We start from the raw sequence: 18080 nt of genomic DNA, 5'->3' as shown, positions 1-18080 counted from the left end.
AGATCCCAGCAATTGCAGTTGTGGGTGTTTAATTTGGAGTGATGAAACTGTGGTCCCACAAAAACTTGTTCACGAATGTCTACAACAGCTTAATTTGTTACAGTTGAAAAGGTCAATAAGCCCAGGTGAATGTTTAATTTGTGGTGAATTTATACCAGAAACCATGAAATACTACTCAGTCATCAAAGGAACAAAATATTAATTAATGCAATCATTTGGATGTATTTTTAGGAAATTTTGTCGAGTGAATAAAAGTCAATTATATACATTATGTACAACAGTACAAGTAGGCCTTGAGACCTACGGGATCATTCTGTGTTGCAGCAAGGCCCTGCCTGCCTCACCAGATGTGGTGAGCCTATCCTATCTCACTCGGAGGGGTCCAAAATCGGATCTGAACGGGAGTCTGGAGAACACAGCAGGCATCTTGAAGCTCCACCTCCCTCCGTGGAAGTCGGCTCAAGGAGGTCCTGAGGACAGGACTCCTAGGGGTTTGGCCCTGGGACAGGACAAGACACCCGCGGCCCCCTCTCCCACGCCGCCCCAAACTGGACCCCGGATCCAGCCGCCGCCGTGGCGGCAGGAGGAACCTCGCTGCCGCCGCGCGGCGGTGGCGGTATTTAAAGGGGACGCAGCCATACTGCCAGGAGCGGAGCGCGAGTCGGCTCAGCCAATGCGCATGCGCGAGGCGCGAGCGGTTTCTCCCGTCACAGTGGTTCCCATGGTTGTCTTAGAAACCAGTCCCCGAGGCTTGGCAAAGCAGGAGCCCTCTGTGGCAGTGCTTGGGTGTCGGGGCTCTGAGGATCCGGCCTCACCTCTCCACGGGGTCGACGGGAACGTCTCCGGATGCCAGGAGTCGCAAAGGGCCGACCACGATGAGGAAACCCCAGGCGGGGACGGGGGAAGCAGCACGGGATCCCAGCCTCAGGCCTGCCCGGACGGTGTTGGTTGGGGTGAGTCTCCCCAAAAGTCGTGCCGCCATCCGTGATCTCGAGGACAGGTCGGCCTGCGTGCCCCTGGGCTGCTCTCTCACCCGAGAGTCGTTCTCGTCGTGAGCAGAACCCCGCAGCCTCAGGGGTTGCCTGGTGGTGTGTGTTTCAATGCCTCTGCTGTATGACGCTGTGTGTGTGTCTCTGTGTGTGTGTGTGTGTGTGTGTGTGTGAGTGTGTGTGTGTGTGTCTGTGTGTGTGTCTCCCAGTCTCTCTTCTCTCTCTGTCTCTCAGTCTCTGTGTGTTTCTTTCCCTCTCTCTGTGGGTTTGTGTGTGTATGCCCGTGTGCGTGTGTGTCTTTGGCCGAATGTGCCCTGTGCGCCACAAAGCGGTTTGTCGCATGGCGGCCTGTCTTTGGTGAGCCTCTTTCTGCGTCTCTACCTGGGTCATGAGGCCGGCTGTCAATCGTTTTCGCCGCGGCGGATCCGCTTTGGGTGCCTGAAAGCCTGGCCCACGTGAGGAGATGCGTCGCTCCCGGAGCAACTGAAATCTCATCCCCATCCTGAGTGGCCTCTTTTCTAGGATCAAGATGAGTACACTGCAGCCGAGAACAAGAGCCCCAGAGGAACTCTTTGTCCCACAGGAGAGCAGCGGATCCACGCCAGAGAAGATGCTTGTATCTTTTCACGGCTCTTCTCTGAGAAATGAAGCCACACCACGATACAGTCAGCAAGAGGAAGCCGGGAATGGGAGATGGCAACAGTCCCTGTCACTGGAACGCTGGCCTCCCTGGACAAGCCACCCTTTAGGAACCCCACCCCTTATGTCTGTGGCGGTGGCACGGTGCTGTATCCTGCCTGGGCTCTGGCCTCTACTCTCTCCTCCCTCTGGCTCTGCCTCCCCTGTTTCTCAGGGGCCTGGATGCCTCTCGCTCTGGCCAAATGCCTTCAAAAAAGATGACTTCCCAGTCCGTCAGGGAGACACTTCCTGGAGATCCGTGTCATGATCGTTTCTCTCTCCAAACGTGTTTCTGCTTAATTGGGCAGGTATCATGAGCCGAGAGCTCTTGGCTTCCATACGTGTCTCAGGCAGGGAAGCTTCCTTCTTCCCCACGTTTCCCCTCATGGGTGGGTGGATTGCCTAGAATGAGCGCTAGGCGACCGTGACTGGCCTTGACTTCCAGGACAGGTGGTGTCCCATTTCCTTTGCACTTCCTGTCTCATTCTTGAGGGACATCCTCTCCTCTGCTCCTGGGTGGCCTGACTCCCTTGATCTTCTGGACGAAACAAATGTCAGGAAACCAAAGGGACTGGGCTGGGGCTGGGGCTGGGGATGGGGCTGGGGCTGGGTGCAGCCGAAGTTGCGTCAGGGCTACCAGGGCGATGGAGGCTTGGGGGTGGGGCGATTTTTGCCAAAACCTCTTTGCTCCTCTGGTAGGCATGTGAAAACGTGGCTTGGGTCAGGCACAGCCCCCCATCTCGACCCGCACCCCCCGAGCCCCAGGTGTTCTTCGACTTTCCTTGGCATTGATGGAAAGGTCACTCGTTTCCCCCTTCCACCAGCACATGCCTGGACACCACCCTTTGTTTCGCCGTCGCCCCGTATGCCTCCGGCGACACACATCCACACCATCTGCTGTGGGGTAGGCCAGTGCCACGCGTGGTCACACGGTCTCCACCTCGGATTCGCCCCTGTTCCTGGTGGCACGTGTCCTGTAAAGCGCGGTCGGCTTTCCGGAGCCCCTGGGCTTTTAGAAGCGGGGCAAGCCACTGATATTTCAAAGGAGGTGGGAGGCAGAGGGCTGATGGATCAGTGAATTTGCAGCTGACGCTAGGCCTTGAGACCTATGGGATCATTGTGTGCTGCAGCGAGGCCCTGCCGGCCTCTCCAGATGTGGTGAGCCCATCCTATCTCAGTGGGAGGGGGCCAGAATCGGATCTCAACGGGAGTCCGGAGAACACAGCAGGCGTCCTGAAGCTCCCCCTCCCTCGGTGGAAGTCGGCTCAAGCAGATCCTGAGGACAGGACCCCTGGGGGTTTGGGCCTGGGACAGGACGAGACACCCGCGGCCCCCTCTCCCACGCCGCCCCAAACAGGACCCAGGATCCAGCCGCCGCCGCGGCGGCAGCGATATTTAAAGGGGACGCAGCCTATCTGTCAGGAGCGGAGCGCGAGTCGGCTCAGCCAATGCGCATGCGCGAGGCGCGAGCGGTTTCTCCCGTCACAGTGGTTCCCACGGTTGTCTTAGAAACCAGACCCCGAGGCTTGGCAGAGCAGGAGCCCTCGGTGGCAGTGCTTGGGTGTCGAGGCTCTGAGGCTCCGGCCTCACCTCTCCACGGGGTCGAAGGGAACGTCTCCGGATGCCAGGAGTCGCAAAGGGCCGACCATGATGATGAAACCCCAGGCAGAGACGGGGGAAGCAGCACGGGATCCCAGCCTCAGGCCTGCACGGACGGTGTTGGTTGGGGTGAGTCTCCCTAAAAGTCGTGCCGCCGTCCGTGATCTCGAGGACGGGTCGGCCTGCGTGCCCCTGGGCTGCTCTCTCACCCGAGGGTCGTTCTCCTCCAGAGCAGAACCCCGCAGCCTCAGGGGTTGCCTGGGGGTGTGTGTTTCAATGCCTCTGCTGTATGACTCTGCGTGTGTGTGTGTGTGTGTGTGTGTGTGTGTGTGTGTCTCCCATTCTCTCTTCTCTCTCTGTCTCTCAGTCTCTGTGTGTTTCTTTCCCACTCTCTGTGCGTTTGTGCCAGCCGAAGTTGCGTCAGGGCTACCAGGTCGGTGGAGGATTGGGGGTGTTGCGAATTTTGCAGAAACCTCTTTGCTCCTCCGGTAGACATTTGAAAACGTGGCTTGGGTCAGGCACAGGCGGCCCCCCACCCCCGGGTCCCAGGTGTTCTTTGATTTTCCTTGGCATTGATGGAAAGGTCACCCGTTTCCCCCTTCCACTGGCACATGCCTGGACCCCACCCTTTGTTTCGCCGTCGCCCCGTATGCCTCCGGTGAGACGCATTCACACCAACTGCTGTGGGATTGGCCAGTGCCACGCGTGGTCACATGGTCTCCCCCTCGGATTCGCCTGTTTTCCTCTTTGCAGGTGTGGTGTAAAGCGTGGTCGGCTTTCTGGAACCCCAGGGCCTTTAGAAGTGGGGCAGGCCACTGCTCTTTCAAAGGAGGAGGGAGGCAGAGGGCTGATGGATCAGTGAATTTTCAGCTGACTCTAGGCCTTGAGAATTATGAGATCATTCTGTGCTGCAGCGAGGCCCTGCCGGCCTCACCAGTTTTTGTGAGCCCATCCTATCTCACTCGGAGGGGGCCAAAATCGGATCTCAACGGGAGTCCGGAGAACACAGCAGGAGTCCTGAAGCTCCCCCTCCATCCCTCCATCGGTGGAAGTGGGCTCAAGCAGGTCCTGAGGACAGGACCCCTGGGGGTTTGGGCCTGGGAAAGGACGAGACTCCTGCGGCCCCCTCTCCCACGCCACCCCAAACAGGACCCAGGATCCAGCTGCCGCCATGGCGGCAGCAGGAGCATCGCGGCCGCCAGGCGACAGTGGCGATATTTAAAGGGGACGTAGCCTGACTGCCAGGAGCTGAGCGCGAGTCGTCCCAGCCAATGCGCATGCGCGAGGCTCTAGTGGCTTCTCCCTTCACAGTGGTTCCTTCGGTTGTCTTAGAAACCAGTCCCCGAGGCTTGGCAAAGCAGGAGCCCTCCGTGGCAGTGCTTGGGTGTCGGGGCTGTGAGGCTCCGGCCTGACCTCTCCACGGGGTCGACGTGAACGTCTCCGGATTCCAGGAGTCACAAAGGGCCGACCAGGATGAGGAAGCCCCAGGGGGGTACGGCGGAAGCAGCACAGGATCCCAGCCTCAGGCCTGCCCGGATGGTGTTGGTTGGGTGGGTCTCCCCAAAAGTCGTGCCGCCATCCGAGATCTCGAGGACAGGTCGGCCTGCGTGACCCTGGGCTGCTCTCTCACCCGAGGGTCGTTCTTGTCGTGAGGAGTACTCCGCAGCCTCAGGGATTGCCTGGTGGTGTGTGTTTCAATTCCTCTGCTGTATGACTCTGTGTGTGTGTGTATGTGTGTGTCTCCCATTCTCTCTTCTCTCTCCCTCTCTCAGTCTCTGTGTGCTTCTTTCCCTCTCTCTGTGGGTTTGTGTGTGCATGCCCGTGTGCGTGTGTGTTTTTGGCTGGAGGTGCCCTGTGTGCCACAAAGCGGTTTTTCGCATGGCGGCCTGTCTTTGTTGAGCCTCTTTCTGCTCTCTGCCTGGGTCATGAGGCCGGTTGTCAATCGTTTTTGCTGCTGTGGATCCGCTTTGGCTCTGTGAAGGCCTGGCCCACGTGAGGAGATGCGTCGGAGCAATTGAAGTCTCATCCCCATCCTGAGCGGCCTCTTTTCTAGCATCAAAACGAACACACTGCAGACGAGGAGAAGAATCCCACAGGAGCTCTTTGTCCTACAGGAGAGCAGCGGACCCACGTCAGAGAAGATGCTTGAGTCTTTTCACGGCTCTTCTCTGAGAAATGAAGCCACACCACGATACAGTCAGCAAGAGGAAACCGGGAATGAGAGATGGCAACAATCCCTGTCCCTAGAACGCTGGCCTCCCTGGACAAGCCACCCTTTTGGAACCCCACCCCTTATGCCCTTGGCGGTGGCACGGTGCTGTATCCTGCCTGGGCTCCGGCCTCTGCTCTGTCCTCCGTCTTGCTCTGCCTCCCCTGTTTCTCAGGGGCCTGGATGCCTCTAGCTCTGGCCAAATGCCTTCAACAAAGATGGCTTCCCAGTCCGTCAGGGAGACATTTCTTCGAGATCCGTGTCGTGATTGTTTCTCTCTCCAAACCTGTTTCTGCTTGATTGGGCTGGTCTCATGACCCGGGAACTCTTGGCTTCCTTAGGTGTCTCAGGCAGGGAAGCTTCCTTCTTCTCCACGTTTCCCCTCATGGGTGGTTGGATTGCCTAGAATGAGCGCTAGGCGAACGTGACTGGCCTTGACTTCCAGGACAGGTGGTGTCGCATTTCCTCTGCACTTCCTGTCTCATTCTTGAGGGACATCCTCTCCTCTGCTCCTGGGTGAACTGAAGCCCTTGATCATCTGGCAGAAAAGAATGTCAGGGAACCCAAGGGACTGGTCTAGGGTTGGGGGCTGGTCCTGGGGCTCGGTGCAGCCAAAGTTGTGTCAGGGCTGCCAGGGCCTTGGACGGTTTGGGGTGGGGCGAATTTTGCAGAAACCTCTATGCTCCTCTGGTAGGCATTTGAAAACGTAGCTTGGGTCCGGCACAGGCCCCCCCTCCCCACACCCCGCGTGTCCCACGTGTTTTTCGATTTTCCTTGGTATTGATGGAAAGGTCACCCGTTTCCCCCTTCCACCGGCATGTTCCTGGACACCACCCTTTGTTTCGCCGTCTCCCCGTATGCCTCCAGTGACACGCATTAACACCAACTGCTGTGGGATAGGCCAGTGCCACGCGTAGTCATATGGTCTCCGCCTCGGATTTGCCCCTGTTCCTCTTTGCAGGTGTCCTGTAAAGCACTGTCGGCTTTCCGGAGCCCCAGGGCTTTTAGAAGCAGGGCAGGCCACTGCTCTTTCTAAGGAGGAGGGCATTGAAAAACACACCCCCAAGCAATCCCTGAGGCTGTGATGTTCTGCTCTCTACGAGAAGGACCCTCGGGTGAGAGAGCAGCCCAGGGGCATGCAGGCTGACCTGTCCTAGAGATCACTGACGGAGGCATGACTTTTGGGGAGACTCACCCCAACCAACACCGTCCGGTCAGGCCTGAGGCTGGGATCCCGTGCTGCTTCCCCCGTCTCCGCTGGGCTTTCCTCATGGTAGTTGGCCTTTTGCGACTCCTGGCATCTGGGGACATTCCCGTTGACCCCAAGAAGAGGTTAGGCCGGAGCCTCAGAGCCCCGAAACCCAAGTACTGCCACGGAGGGCTCCTTCTTCGCCAAGCCTCGGTGACTGGTTTCTAAGACAACCGTGGGAACCACTGTGACTGGAGAAGCCGCTCCCGCCTCGCGCATGTGCATTGGCTGAGCCGACTCGCGCTCCGCTCCTGGCAGTCAGGCTGGGTCCCCTTTAAATACTGCCACATCTGAGCGTGGCAGCAGCGAGGCTCCTGCTAGCCCCGCGGCGGCGGCTAGATCCGGGGTCCAGTTTGGGGCGGCGTGGGAGAGGGGGCCGTGGGTGTCTTCTCCTGTCCCAGGGCCAAACCCCGAGGAGTCCTCACCTCAGGACCTGCTTGAGCCGACTTCCACTGAGGGAGGGGGAGCTTCAGGACGCCTGCTGTGTTCTCCGTCCTCCTGTTCAGATCCAATTTTGGCCCCCTTCGAGTGAAATAGGATGGGCTCACCACATCTGGTGAGGCAGGCAGGGCCTCGCTGCAGTGCAGAATGATCCCATAGGTCTCAAGGCCTAGTGTCAGCTGCAAATTCACTTATCCATCAGCCCTCTGCCTCCCTCCTCCTTTGAAAGAGCAGTGGCCTGCCCCGCTTCTAAAAGCCCTGGGGTTCCGGAAAGCCCACCGCGCTTTACAGGACACCTGCATAGAGGAACAGGGGCGAATCCGAGGTGGAGACCATGTGACCACGCGTGGCACTGGCCTATCCCACAGCAGTTGGTGTTAATGTGTGTCACCGGAGGCATACGGGGCGACGGCGAAACAAAGGGTGGTGTCCAGGCATGTGCCGGTTGAATGGGGAAACAGTTGACCTTTCCATCAATGCCAGGGAAAATCGAAGAACACCTAGGACCCGGGGGGTGGGGGTCCTGTGCCTGACCCAAGCCACGTTTTCACATGCCTACCAGAGGAGCAAAGAGGTTTCTGCAAAATTCGCCCCACCCCCAACCCTCCACCGCCCTGGTAGCCCTGACGCAACTTAGGCTGCGCCCAGCCACAGCCCCAGCCCCAGCCCCAGCCCCAGCCCAGTCCCTTTGGTTCCCTTACATTCGTTTCAGCCAGAAGATCAAGGGAGTCAGTCCACCCAGGAGCAGAGGAGAGGATGTCCCTCATGAATGAGACAGGAAGTGCAGAGGAAATGCGACACTACCTTTCCTGGAAGACAAGGCCAGTCATGGTCGCCTAGCGCTCATTCTAGGCAATCCACCCACCATGAGGGGAAACGTGGAGAAGAAGGAAGCTTCCCTGCCTGAGACACGAATGGAAGCCAGGAGCTCCCAGGTCATGCGACCTGCCCAATCAAGCAGAAACAGGTTTGGAGAGAGAAACAATCACGACACGGATCTCGAAGAAATGTCTCCCTGACGGACTGGGAAGTCATCTTTGTTGAAGACATTGGGCGTCAGCGAGAGGCATTGAGGCACTTGAGAAACAGGTGAGGCAGAGCAGGAGGGAGGACAGGGCAGACGCCGGCGGCCAGGCGGGATATATCACCGTTCCACTGCCAGGGTCATAAGGGATGGGGTTCCAAAAGGGTGGCTTGTCCAGAGAGGCCAGCATTCCAGTGACAGGGACTGTTGCCATCTCCCATTCCCGGCTTCCTCTTCCAGACCGTATTGTGGTGTGGCTTCATTTCTCAGAGAAGAGCCGTGAAAAGATACAAGCATCTTCTCTGACGTGGGTCCGCTGGTCTCCGGCGGGACAAAGAGCTCCTGTGGGGCTCGTGTCCTCGTCTGCAGTGTGTTCATCTTGATCCTAGAAAAGAGACCGCTCAGGATGGGGATATTTCAATTGCTCCGGGACCGAAGAATCTCCTCACGTGGGCCAGGCCTTCACACACCCAAAGCGGAACCGCGTCGGCGAAAAGGATTGACAACCGGTCTCATGACCCAGGCAGAGAGGCAGAAACAGGCTCACCAAAGACAGGCCGCCATGCGAGAAACAGCTTTGTGGTGCACAGGGCACATTCGGCCAAGGACACACACGCACACGGGCACACACACACAAACCGACAGAGAGAGGGAAAGAAACACACAGAGACTGAGAGACAGAGAGAGAAGAGAGAATGGGAGACACACACACACATACACACACAGACACACACACAGAGTCTTATAGCAAAGGCATTGAAAGACACACACCCAGGCAACCCCTGAGGCTGTGGGGTTCTGCTTTCGACGAGAACGACCCTTCGGTGAGAGAGCACCCCAGGGGCACGCAGGCCGTCCTGTCCTCGAGATCACCGCGTCACGACTTTTGGGGAGACTCACCCCCACCAACACCGTCCAGAGAGGCCTGAGGGAGGGATTCCATGCTGCCTTCTCCGGACTCTGCGTCGGGTTTCCTCACCCTGTTCGGCCCTTTGTGACTCTTGGCATCCGGAGACTTTCCCCTCGACCCAGTGGAGCCGTCAGGCCGGAGCCTCAGAGCCTTGACACCCAAGCACTGCCACGGAAGTCTCCCCCTTTGCCAAGCCTCGGGGACTGGTTTCTAAGACAACCGTGGGAACCACTGTGACGGGAGAAACCGCTTGTGCTTCGCGCATGCGCATTGGCTGGGCCGACTCTTTCTCCCCTCCTGGCAGTCAGGCTGCGTCCCCTTTAAAGAACGCCACCGCTGAGAACTGACCCTCACATCTCCCTTCCTGAATTTCTTTAGGGAAAGCAACAACCATCCCTGTAAGCCATGGGTTTTCATGCGGAGGAAGGAGAGGGCTAGTTGTCTGAGAGGGTAACTGCTTAAGGCTGCAGACTAGGAAATGGGATTCCAGGTTTAAGATAGCTCCTTTCTGGACCTCAGTCCTTCACCTAGTCACCTAGTCACAGGGTGGATTGCCTCTAAGGATACTTAGGGGAAAAGGAACCAAATTTGGGATGGTTCTCCTTGCTTTAAGCCTTGATAGGAGACGGGGAGGCCAACCCTTCTCTGCAGACCGTGATCCTCACTAGACAGAGGAGCTCCAAACCTGCCCATCTCATCCCATGCACCGACGGTGCCTGGCCTGGCTCCAAACTCCCGAAAGGAACTATTTTACAGGTGCCAAAAAGGGGACAGTGTTGATAATAATAATAAAATGAAACAATCTGATTGGGGCATTGCTGGATCAGAAAATGTGTGACCTTTTTAAAGTTAAATTGTTAAAAAATTTTAACTATTAAACATTTTAAATATTAAGCCTGATCTGTTTGGTAGCCCTGGAGCAGGGCTGAGGCGTAGAGAGAAACCTTTCCTTCAGCCAGGTTGTCTGTGTCACACTGATTTATTTTTATTTTATTTGTGGATTTCTTAATGGACCCAACGGTGGTTCCTCTTTGCATCCCTCGGGTTGACAGGCAATTCCATCCTAGCCCAGTTCTCAGCTCTGGTTTAGTTTTCATAACTTTTGGGGGTCCAGGGAGCCATGAGACTGGAGATAGAAAGCAGAAGTGCACTGGGGCGGTGGGTCTGCCTTGGCTTACCCCCAAATTTCTGGATTCCAGGTGCCTTGCTCCAGTCCCTGCCCCATCCTAGACTCAGGATGCTCTCCCACGCTACTAACCACTGGTCCGGTCAAAGCCCAAGCTGCTGCCAGCCACCATGTTATCTCCTAGCCTGGCTAGGGTGCCTGCTAGCCAGCAGTGGCTATGGTGGTGTGCAGAGTGAGGGTGAGTTTTTGTATTGACTGCCATTCCGTTTACCTCAAGAAGTATGTTTGGGCAACCATTCTGTGCCAGGCAGCAGACAGAGTCCCTGCACTGCAGGAATTCCTAGTCCTGTGGGCAGGGGTGTGTGGAGGATGGCACATGGTGGTTAGCCTGGTCCAAGGGTCTCCACTCCCTTCCTAGCATCCTAGAGATCCTGGAGGCTAGGTTGGCCACAGAGACTGAGTTCAGGACAATTCCTTCACGCAGTTAATGAAGTTATCTGTAACTTCCTGGTTAAAACACACACACACACACACACACACACACACACACAAACACAAAAACTGGCAGTCGTGGGAGGTATTTCCCCACTGGGCTGGTTGGTAGCAGGGGAAGAACTGTGGACCCCTCGCCGAGTGGCGCCTGGAAGGAGGCTGACGTAAGAGTGGTGTAGCTGTGAGTAGGAGAAGTGAGATCTAGTGGGGTAAGTCCATGTTCCCTGTTCCTAAAGTCAAATTCTCCCTGAAAAGACCCAGGGCAGCACTGTTAGGGAGCTGAAGGAGTCCCTCTGTACCCAGAGGGAATTAGGCCACTCAGGCCTCAGAGAAGGAGGGCGGGTGGTGAGGACAACCTCCCCAAGCCCCCATCAGAGCAGGCCCAATACTTGGAAATTCACTCCTCAGTCCACCAGATTCTGGTCCCATCCTACATCCCCACCAGGGCACAGGAGGCCCACATAAAAACAAGCTTTATTTGGCCAAATTAACTCACTTTCCTGGATTACCTTACTTGTTGGAAAGCGAAAGCACACCCCACGCTCCTCACCCTGTCCCTGCCTAAACCTCTTTATCTCTGAAGCCCACTCTTTGAGACCTAAAAATTAGGGTTCAAGAGAAACGCTCTAGGACTACAGGAGTGACACGACAGTCCCTATCCTACAGTGCACTAAAAGCCAAACTGAAGTCTGCTTCCTCGGTGGAGAGTGTCTCAGGGTGAGGTGGCAGGACTGTTAGCCGCTTCTCATTTTACAAGCTCCTTGTCCACAGTCATCTGCACCAGCCCCTCACAAAACTGGTTCTCGCCTTCTGGTGGGTGCTGGTGTTTACCCCTTTCCTCCCACTATCTGTTCAAACCGAGCCCACCCACCCTCCATTCACCTCCCCTCCTTAAGGCTCCCTGAGCTCTATTTACCCTTTTGTAACTCCATCCCTCCATAAGTACACAACTCTTCTAGCTGGTTTCCTAGAGGGTAGATACAGTGTTTCCAGTTGGCCCTCTGCAGATATCTGTGAATAAGTCTCTCCCAGCCCCTACATATAAATGTGTCTGTTCTAGAGAGACGGGCCTAAGTCCCAACGTAAACACATCACTAGATAATTACACCTTATATACATACAGATCTCTCTATAGAGTTATATTTGAAAGTGTCTATAACTCTAGAGAGAGATTGCAGCATGCACATATAGGACTATAATTACTTATGTCTATTTTTATAACTATGCAGTTATAAATAGATATGCCTATATATAGTGATAATAATATAGAAATATCTCCATAGCCATATATGGCTCTAAGTGAATGCTCTAACTACTCTATTTCGCAATCAATAAGTATATATCTCCTGATACATAATTCTAACAATATACGTTTTAATCTATATAGCTCTTCAGAGATATAAATCTGTCAGGATATCAAATGTACATAAAGCCGGATGGCTGTAAGGGAGTCGCATATTTTCCCATATATAAATCTGCTCCTATAACTACTGTATATGCACAAATACAATGGAAATAATTATATTTCCCTCAAACGTAAATCTGTAAATACAACCACAGCACATTTAGGTACCATTAGACATAGAGCAATATTTCCTAGACATCAGTCTGTCAGTAGAGCCACCAGTGCCTCCAAACAGAGAGTTATAGAGGGAGTTATAAATAAACTCTCCAGATGTGAACGGATCAGTAGAACTAGATGTAAACATGACTCCAAGCCGTTCCTCCTCCTTCTTCTTCTTTGTAAGATATTCCTGAAGCAAGCCCAGTCATATAACAGGGTGCAGAGGTGTCTGGGTACTGGTATTTTTTTCCCCAAGGAGGGTCGGAGGTCGCTGGACTTTGGGAAACTGTGCAGGAGTGGGTAGGGGACAATGCCCGCTCCCAACACAGCCCAGAAGCCCCTTCCGTCTGTCTCCTGGTGGCTGAGAGCTCGGGCAAGTGGAGAGGCCTAAGGGAGAAAAATGAAAAAGCAGAGTCTGGCTTGAGTCGTTCGGCCCTTCGGCCTAAAACCCTCTCAACAGGGAAGCCCCGAACAGGCGTCGGAGCGGAGAGAGCCCACGAGGCCCAGAGGCTGGGGGAAAGGGGCTGCAGGCCGGGCTGCGGAGGCCGAGCAGAGTCGCCAGCCGGTGCCTGACCGCCCGGCGCCCCATCTCCCGGGGCCGCTGCCTCGCCGGCAGCCTGGAACACAAAACCTGGGCCCTAGCCCTGCGCCCTGTGCTCAGCACTTCCACTGGTCTTATTTTATTGCTGTTTTGTCCAATTAGGTATCGCAGCGTCCTCCACCCGGTGTTGTTTTCAAATGCGAGGGCACCCAGGGCTTTCTGAATGCGTGTGTGTGTGTGTGTGTGTGTGTGCTGGCTTTAAATAAGTGACTCAGTGGATAGTGTATTTCTCTTTTCAGACCAAATGGGTCACCGGCTACTGAAAAAGAATCCAGACCTCTGAAAGGGTTCGTGACAAATTTTTTAGAAGTTCTCACGCTCATCTGTTACGATGATTTTCTTTTCTTTTTTCTCTTTTAAAAAAGTTGGCTAATTTGTGTTTCTATATTCCTCTTTAATTTTATTTTTATTGGGGGTACAAATGTTTTTAAAGGAGGGATTTCGTTAGACCCGAAACTGTGGGGTGGCTTCCTCTCTAGCAAACTTACTATCTCTACGCCTGTGATTCCCATCTCCCCCAAGAAAACAAACGAATTAAATGACCAGAAAACTGTACCTGGAGAAAATGAGGTATATGTTGCAGGATCCGGGACCGCGGCCCTTGCTTGCTTCATGAAAAATCGGCTGGTCTCCAAACTCGCGAAGGAAAATTCAAGGCGCCTCAACTCCTCCTTTTAAATTTTTTAATAAAGAGCCTAGAAAGGGAACTTTCCCTGGGCCTGCCGGAGCCCCAGCCTGGCTCTCCCAACTTCCCAGCGGCCATAAGTGTTTTTCTGCTTCCATTCGGGCCCCCCGTCTTCCCGGGCATCTCTGAGCTCCTGCCGGATCAAGGCTGTGGTCATCACCTCATTCATCTCTGCTGCTTGGCCTGAGCCTGCACATTTGGCCTCCTTCTTAAAACAGGGGCTCCTAGAGAGTCCCAAAATCCATTAACCATTCCCATATGTGGGATCCCTTCCCTGATCACACAAAGCAGAAGCCTGAGAAAAAAAGCAATAAAGAGTGGCCTCCTGGCTCTCCTTCTCCTCTTCCATCCCTTGTCTGGGAAAGGGGTTCCCAACCCCAGCCCCACCAAGAGCATATTAAGAAGCTTTCTTCCTCCCTTCCTTTCCTATCTCCCCCTCAGATGCTGTGATCCTGACTCCTTCTGTCTCCACCTCAAAATATTTCCTCTTGCATTTTATTGTTATTCTGTTATGCAGTGACTGTTAACTACTGTTTTATTATTATTATTCATTATTTATTGTTATTAAGATTGTCGTTAGAGATTTGTTCACCACCGTTCAAGGGACAGCAGCCTGGCCCAGGGGGAAGCCTGCCTCTCCCTGTCTGTCTCTCTCTCTCACACACACACACACACACACATACACACACACACACCCTAACACAGTGCACACTCACGCATATATGCTCACAAATGCCTGCTGTGTTCAGGCCCCTGCACAGCAATCCGAAGAGGCAGGCATCCTACCCCAGCACGCAAACAACACACTGCCCACGCACACCAGCATTCAGGCAGAACACCACCCCCAGACCAACGCCAAAACCCACACGCACCGAGCTTGCAAGGAAAGGAAAATACATAAAGAATCCCTTCTCTCCAAAACCTGGAGGGGCGAGTCAGGCCTCTGTCTCTTCCCCCCAGTCGCTTTCGCTTTCTCTTTTTTTTTTCTCCTTGTTTACAGCTTCAGAGAGCTCAAGGCCCATAAATCTTGAGGGGTCTACAGAGCGCAGAGCACATTTGTATGCATCGTTGGGACTCACTAATACATTACTAAGCCCATTAAGGAGAGTGTATGCGCATGGTTTCCGGTGTGTATTAACTTATAGTTAAATTCTGGAGGAAAGGGCATTGTGAATTAACATATACCAAATCCATCATGGGCTTTTGTCATATCAGATTAGTCAGTCATGGGTTTGGGGGAGTAACTTGCCTGGGTCGGGGTGTACCCACCCTTCAAACTTTGTGGAGCAGGCCCGGGGGTCTTGGGAAACACGAAGGCATTCCTATCCAGCCCCAGTCATTCGGATCCCCCAGGCCTAGCGGCTGCACACTTGTGAGATGGCGGAGGGACTGCAGACCCAGGTGCGGGAGGCCAGTGCTAGCGAAGAGAGGTGGGCAAGGGAGGCCCCTCCAGCGTCCTGCTGGGGTTGAGTTGGGGTGACTCGTCCCGTGGCCGCTGGGTCGTCTGGTTTCCCCTTTCCGAAAGAAATGAGAGGAGAGGCAAGTGGAGTAGCTGAACTTTGATTAAACCGTAGAGAAGACAGTGGGAGGAGGGAAAAAAAAAAGATCGGAGAAGGAGGAGGAGGTGGCCGAGAGATCGAGGAAAGGAAGTCCTAGAGGCTCCGGGGAATTTGGAAATCTCTCCAAGGGGCTGAAAGCTGGAAGTTGTATGAAGGTGTTCCTTTCTCACACCCCAGCTACTCCGCCCCAGTCGAAGAGGCTAATTCCGGGCCTCTTATAAAAATAAGAAAGAAAAGGTAAAGAAAAAGAAAATCTAATTATGTGGCATGTTTCAGCCAGGTGTTCCTGGTTCCAATGACTCAGACCCTATTGGAGCCCCGAGGATCTGGATAATTGGGCCTGCCTAGACAGAGATGAAGGATGCCATTTCTAAAAGGAGGAAGGGGAGAGGAAAGTCCATCTCTTGGGGTCTTGTAGAAAATGCCAAAGACCAACCAAGCTAAATTATTGTGTCCCTGTAGATCTATTTGCCTATTTACGTACAGCAGGCTGTGGGGGTGGGGGGTGAGGGAAGGCCGGGAATAAACGACCAGGATGGAGCGGGCTGGCAGGAGAGAAAATGCGCCCCCCACTCTTTGCGGGAACAGCCAACGGGCCTCCTCAGCTCGCAGCTCAAGCGGCCGCGCGGCGGGCCAGTCCGGGGCCGGGGGCCGGGGCCGGCCTGGGGGAGGGGAGGCGGGGGCGGGAGGGGAGGCGGAGGCGGGCCCTCCCCGGGCGCTGTGAACTTTAGCTGGGCCGCCGCCTGTCAGCGCCAGAAAGCGTTAAAGGTGCAGCAGCCCGCGCCAGCCTCCGCAGCCGCCTTTGTACGAGTGATTTATGACTTCAGTCTTGGTTCACCAAGAGTTCACACGGCTTTCGCTGCTGTTGAAGGTTAAAAGATGGTCTTCGCTTGACAAGTTGGACTATTGAAAATTCCTTCTTCTTCTTCTTTTTTTATTTTAGAAGCGAAGAGCAGAGGCTCAGGAGAGAAAAACATTGGGGAGGGGGCGGGGGACAGGGGTTGCAGGTGGGCCAAAATGGTAAGTCAGGAAGGTTTGTCTTCCTATATTTAGGATTTTTTGTTGTTAGGATTTGCGTGCGTGTTGGGGAGAGGGTAGAGAATAAGAGGGAGCTAGGCAAGAGATGTAAAGATCTCTCATATTTAGAGGCCAAAGGAGTGAAAAAAAAACTTGCTTCCACAGTTAATTATCTGGGTAACTTGGGTCACACCCCCTAACTGATCCTCCTCTAGAGACCGGAAATGGGCCAGGTAAGGGAGAGAGTTTGGGTAAAGGGTAAGGTTTGTGTGCTTCTCACTGGGTGTACTTGATCATCCACCTTACCTGGGTAACTACTTTTTTTTTTTTTTTTTTTTTTTTTTTGGAAATGGGGTCCAGCTCTGTTTCCCAGGCTGGAGTGTTGTGGCACCATCATAGTTCACTGAAGCCTCAAACTCCTGGGCTCAAGTAGTCCTCCCACCTTAGCCTCTTAAGTATGTGAGACTGCAGGCATGTGCCACACCGCCAGGCTGGGTAGCTGCCTTTCAATGTGCTTCTGCACCCACAGATTTGGAAAAGGGCATTTTTAGGCAGCAGTCTTTCAACTCTCTTCATCCTGTAGGTTTAGCCTGCCATTTACATTTGATGCACATGAAGAGGCTAATGGGAAGGAAATCTATAGAACTGGAATTGGAAGTCCTTTCAAATCCCAAATTCCCTTGGTCTAAGAGCCAGTCTCTCTTCTTTCTAGCATTTTGACAATGGTCGTGCCACAGCAGAGGTGGTGGTCAAAGATCTCCCAAAGACCAGGATCTAAGGCCCCTTTGTGATCTAAGGCTCTGAGTACTTGGAGAGACAAAACTCACTCCTTCTTTGTAGATTCAGAGAGACAGAGAGAGAGAGAGAGAGAGAGGGAATGAGGAGATACCTTGAAGCTGAGGGTCTGCTTGGCTTTTCGAGGTTTTTTTTTTAAGATATGTTTTTAAAAAATTTTCTGGAGTGGGAATTGGGATTGTGTGCACTGGGAAGGGGAACAGCAGAGAGCTGGGTCTGGAGTTGGGTGTGCCTCCCTAGCCCTATTAAGGCCCCATCTCCATTACCAATGCTAGGTAAATGTCTTCTTAAGAGATAGAGCCAGCCCCTCAAATCCAGATCTGGGAACCAAAGGCATCCACGCTAGAAGGGGCACTCCCTGCTTCTCTTTCTACATAGCATTAGAGAGGTATTTTCCCACCATGTGAGGACTTAGATAAGAGAAGGAGAAGAGCCAGAAAGATGTCCACATCTCGCCGGGACACCTAGCACCAGGCCCTCCTACAGGGGACCTCATATGTAAATAGCAGAATGGGGAGCAGGACCCATTTACCGGGCAGTGATACTCTTCTATTAGCTCTAGAGGGTCTCAACTTTCGCTGCACATTGGAACCCCCAGCGAGTTTTTTTGTTTGCTCATTTTTGTTTTTGAGATGGTGTCTTGCTCTTGTCACCCAGGATAGAGTGCGGTGGCACATCTCGGCTCACTACAACCTCTGCCTCCTGGGTTCAAGCAATTATCCCTGCCTCAGCCTCCCGAGTAGCTGGGATTACAGGTGCTTGCCACCATGCCCAGCTAATTTTTGTATTTTTAATAGAGACGGGGTTTCACCATGTTTGCCAGGCTTGTGTCAAACTCCTCACCTCAGGTAATCCGCCCACCTCGGCCTCCCAACGTGCTGGGATTACAGGTGTGAGCCACCATGCCCAGCCACAAGTTTTTTAAAATACTGATGCCTGGGTCCCACCTCCAGAGATTCCAATTTGGTTGGCCTGTAGTAGGGCCTGGGCATATGTATACATGTGCCATGCTGGTGCGCTGCACCCACTAACTCGTCATCTAGCATTAGGTATATCTCCCAATGCTATCCCTCCCCCCTCCCCCCACCCCACCACAGTCCCCAGAGTGTGATATTCCCCTTCCTGTGTCCATGTGATCTCAT

General features: G+C 54.0%; 3 long non-coding RNA genes across 3 annotated transcripts; 2 read left to right on the top strand and 1 right to left on the bottom strand.

Moving 5' to 3' along the window:
• Positions 1-660: 660 nt before the first annotated feature.
• On the top strand, positions 661-1921 carry FAM27B (family with sequence similarity 27 member B). The gene is made up of 2 exons (NR_027422.1): positions 661-953; positions 1512-1921. It is a non-coding gene; the product is annotated as a family with sequence similarity 27 member B (long non-coding RNA).
• Positions 1922-8224: 6303 nt separating this feature from the next.
• On the top strand, positions 8225-9906 carry FAM27E3 (family with sequence similarity 27 member E3). Its single transcript, NR_103833.1, has 2 exons — positions 8225-8254; positions 8430-9906. It is a non-coding gene; the product is annotated as a family with sequence similarity 27 member E3 (long non-coding RNA).
• A 3764-nt stretch (positions 9907-13670) lies between these two features.
• On the bottom strand, positions 13671-15727 carry LOC102723709 (uncharacterized). Its single transcript, NR_121606.1, has 3 exons — positions 15563-15727; positions 14837-15081; positions 13671-13700 (listed from the first exon to the last, which is right to left on the bottom strand). It is a non-coding gene; the product is annotated as an uncharacterized LOC102723709 (long non-coding RNA).
• Positions 15728-18080: the final 2353 nt, after the last annotated feature.

Source organism: Homo sapiens, chromosome 9 (genome assembly GCF_000001405.40).
Source record: "Homo sapiens chromosome 9, GRCh38.p14 Primary Assembly".
Taxonomy (NCBI): Eukaryota; Metazoa; Chordata; class Mammalia; order Primates; family Hominidae; genus Homo; species Homo sapiens.
This window is presented reverse-complemented; position numbering and strand designations above follow the sequence as displayed.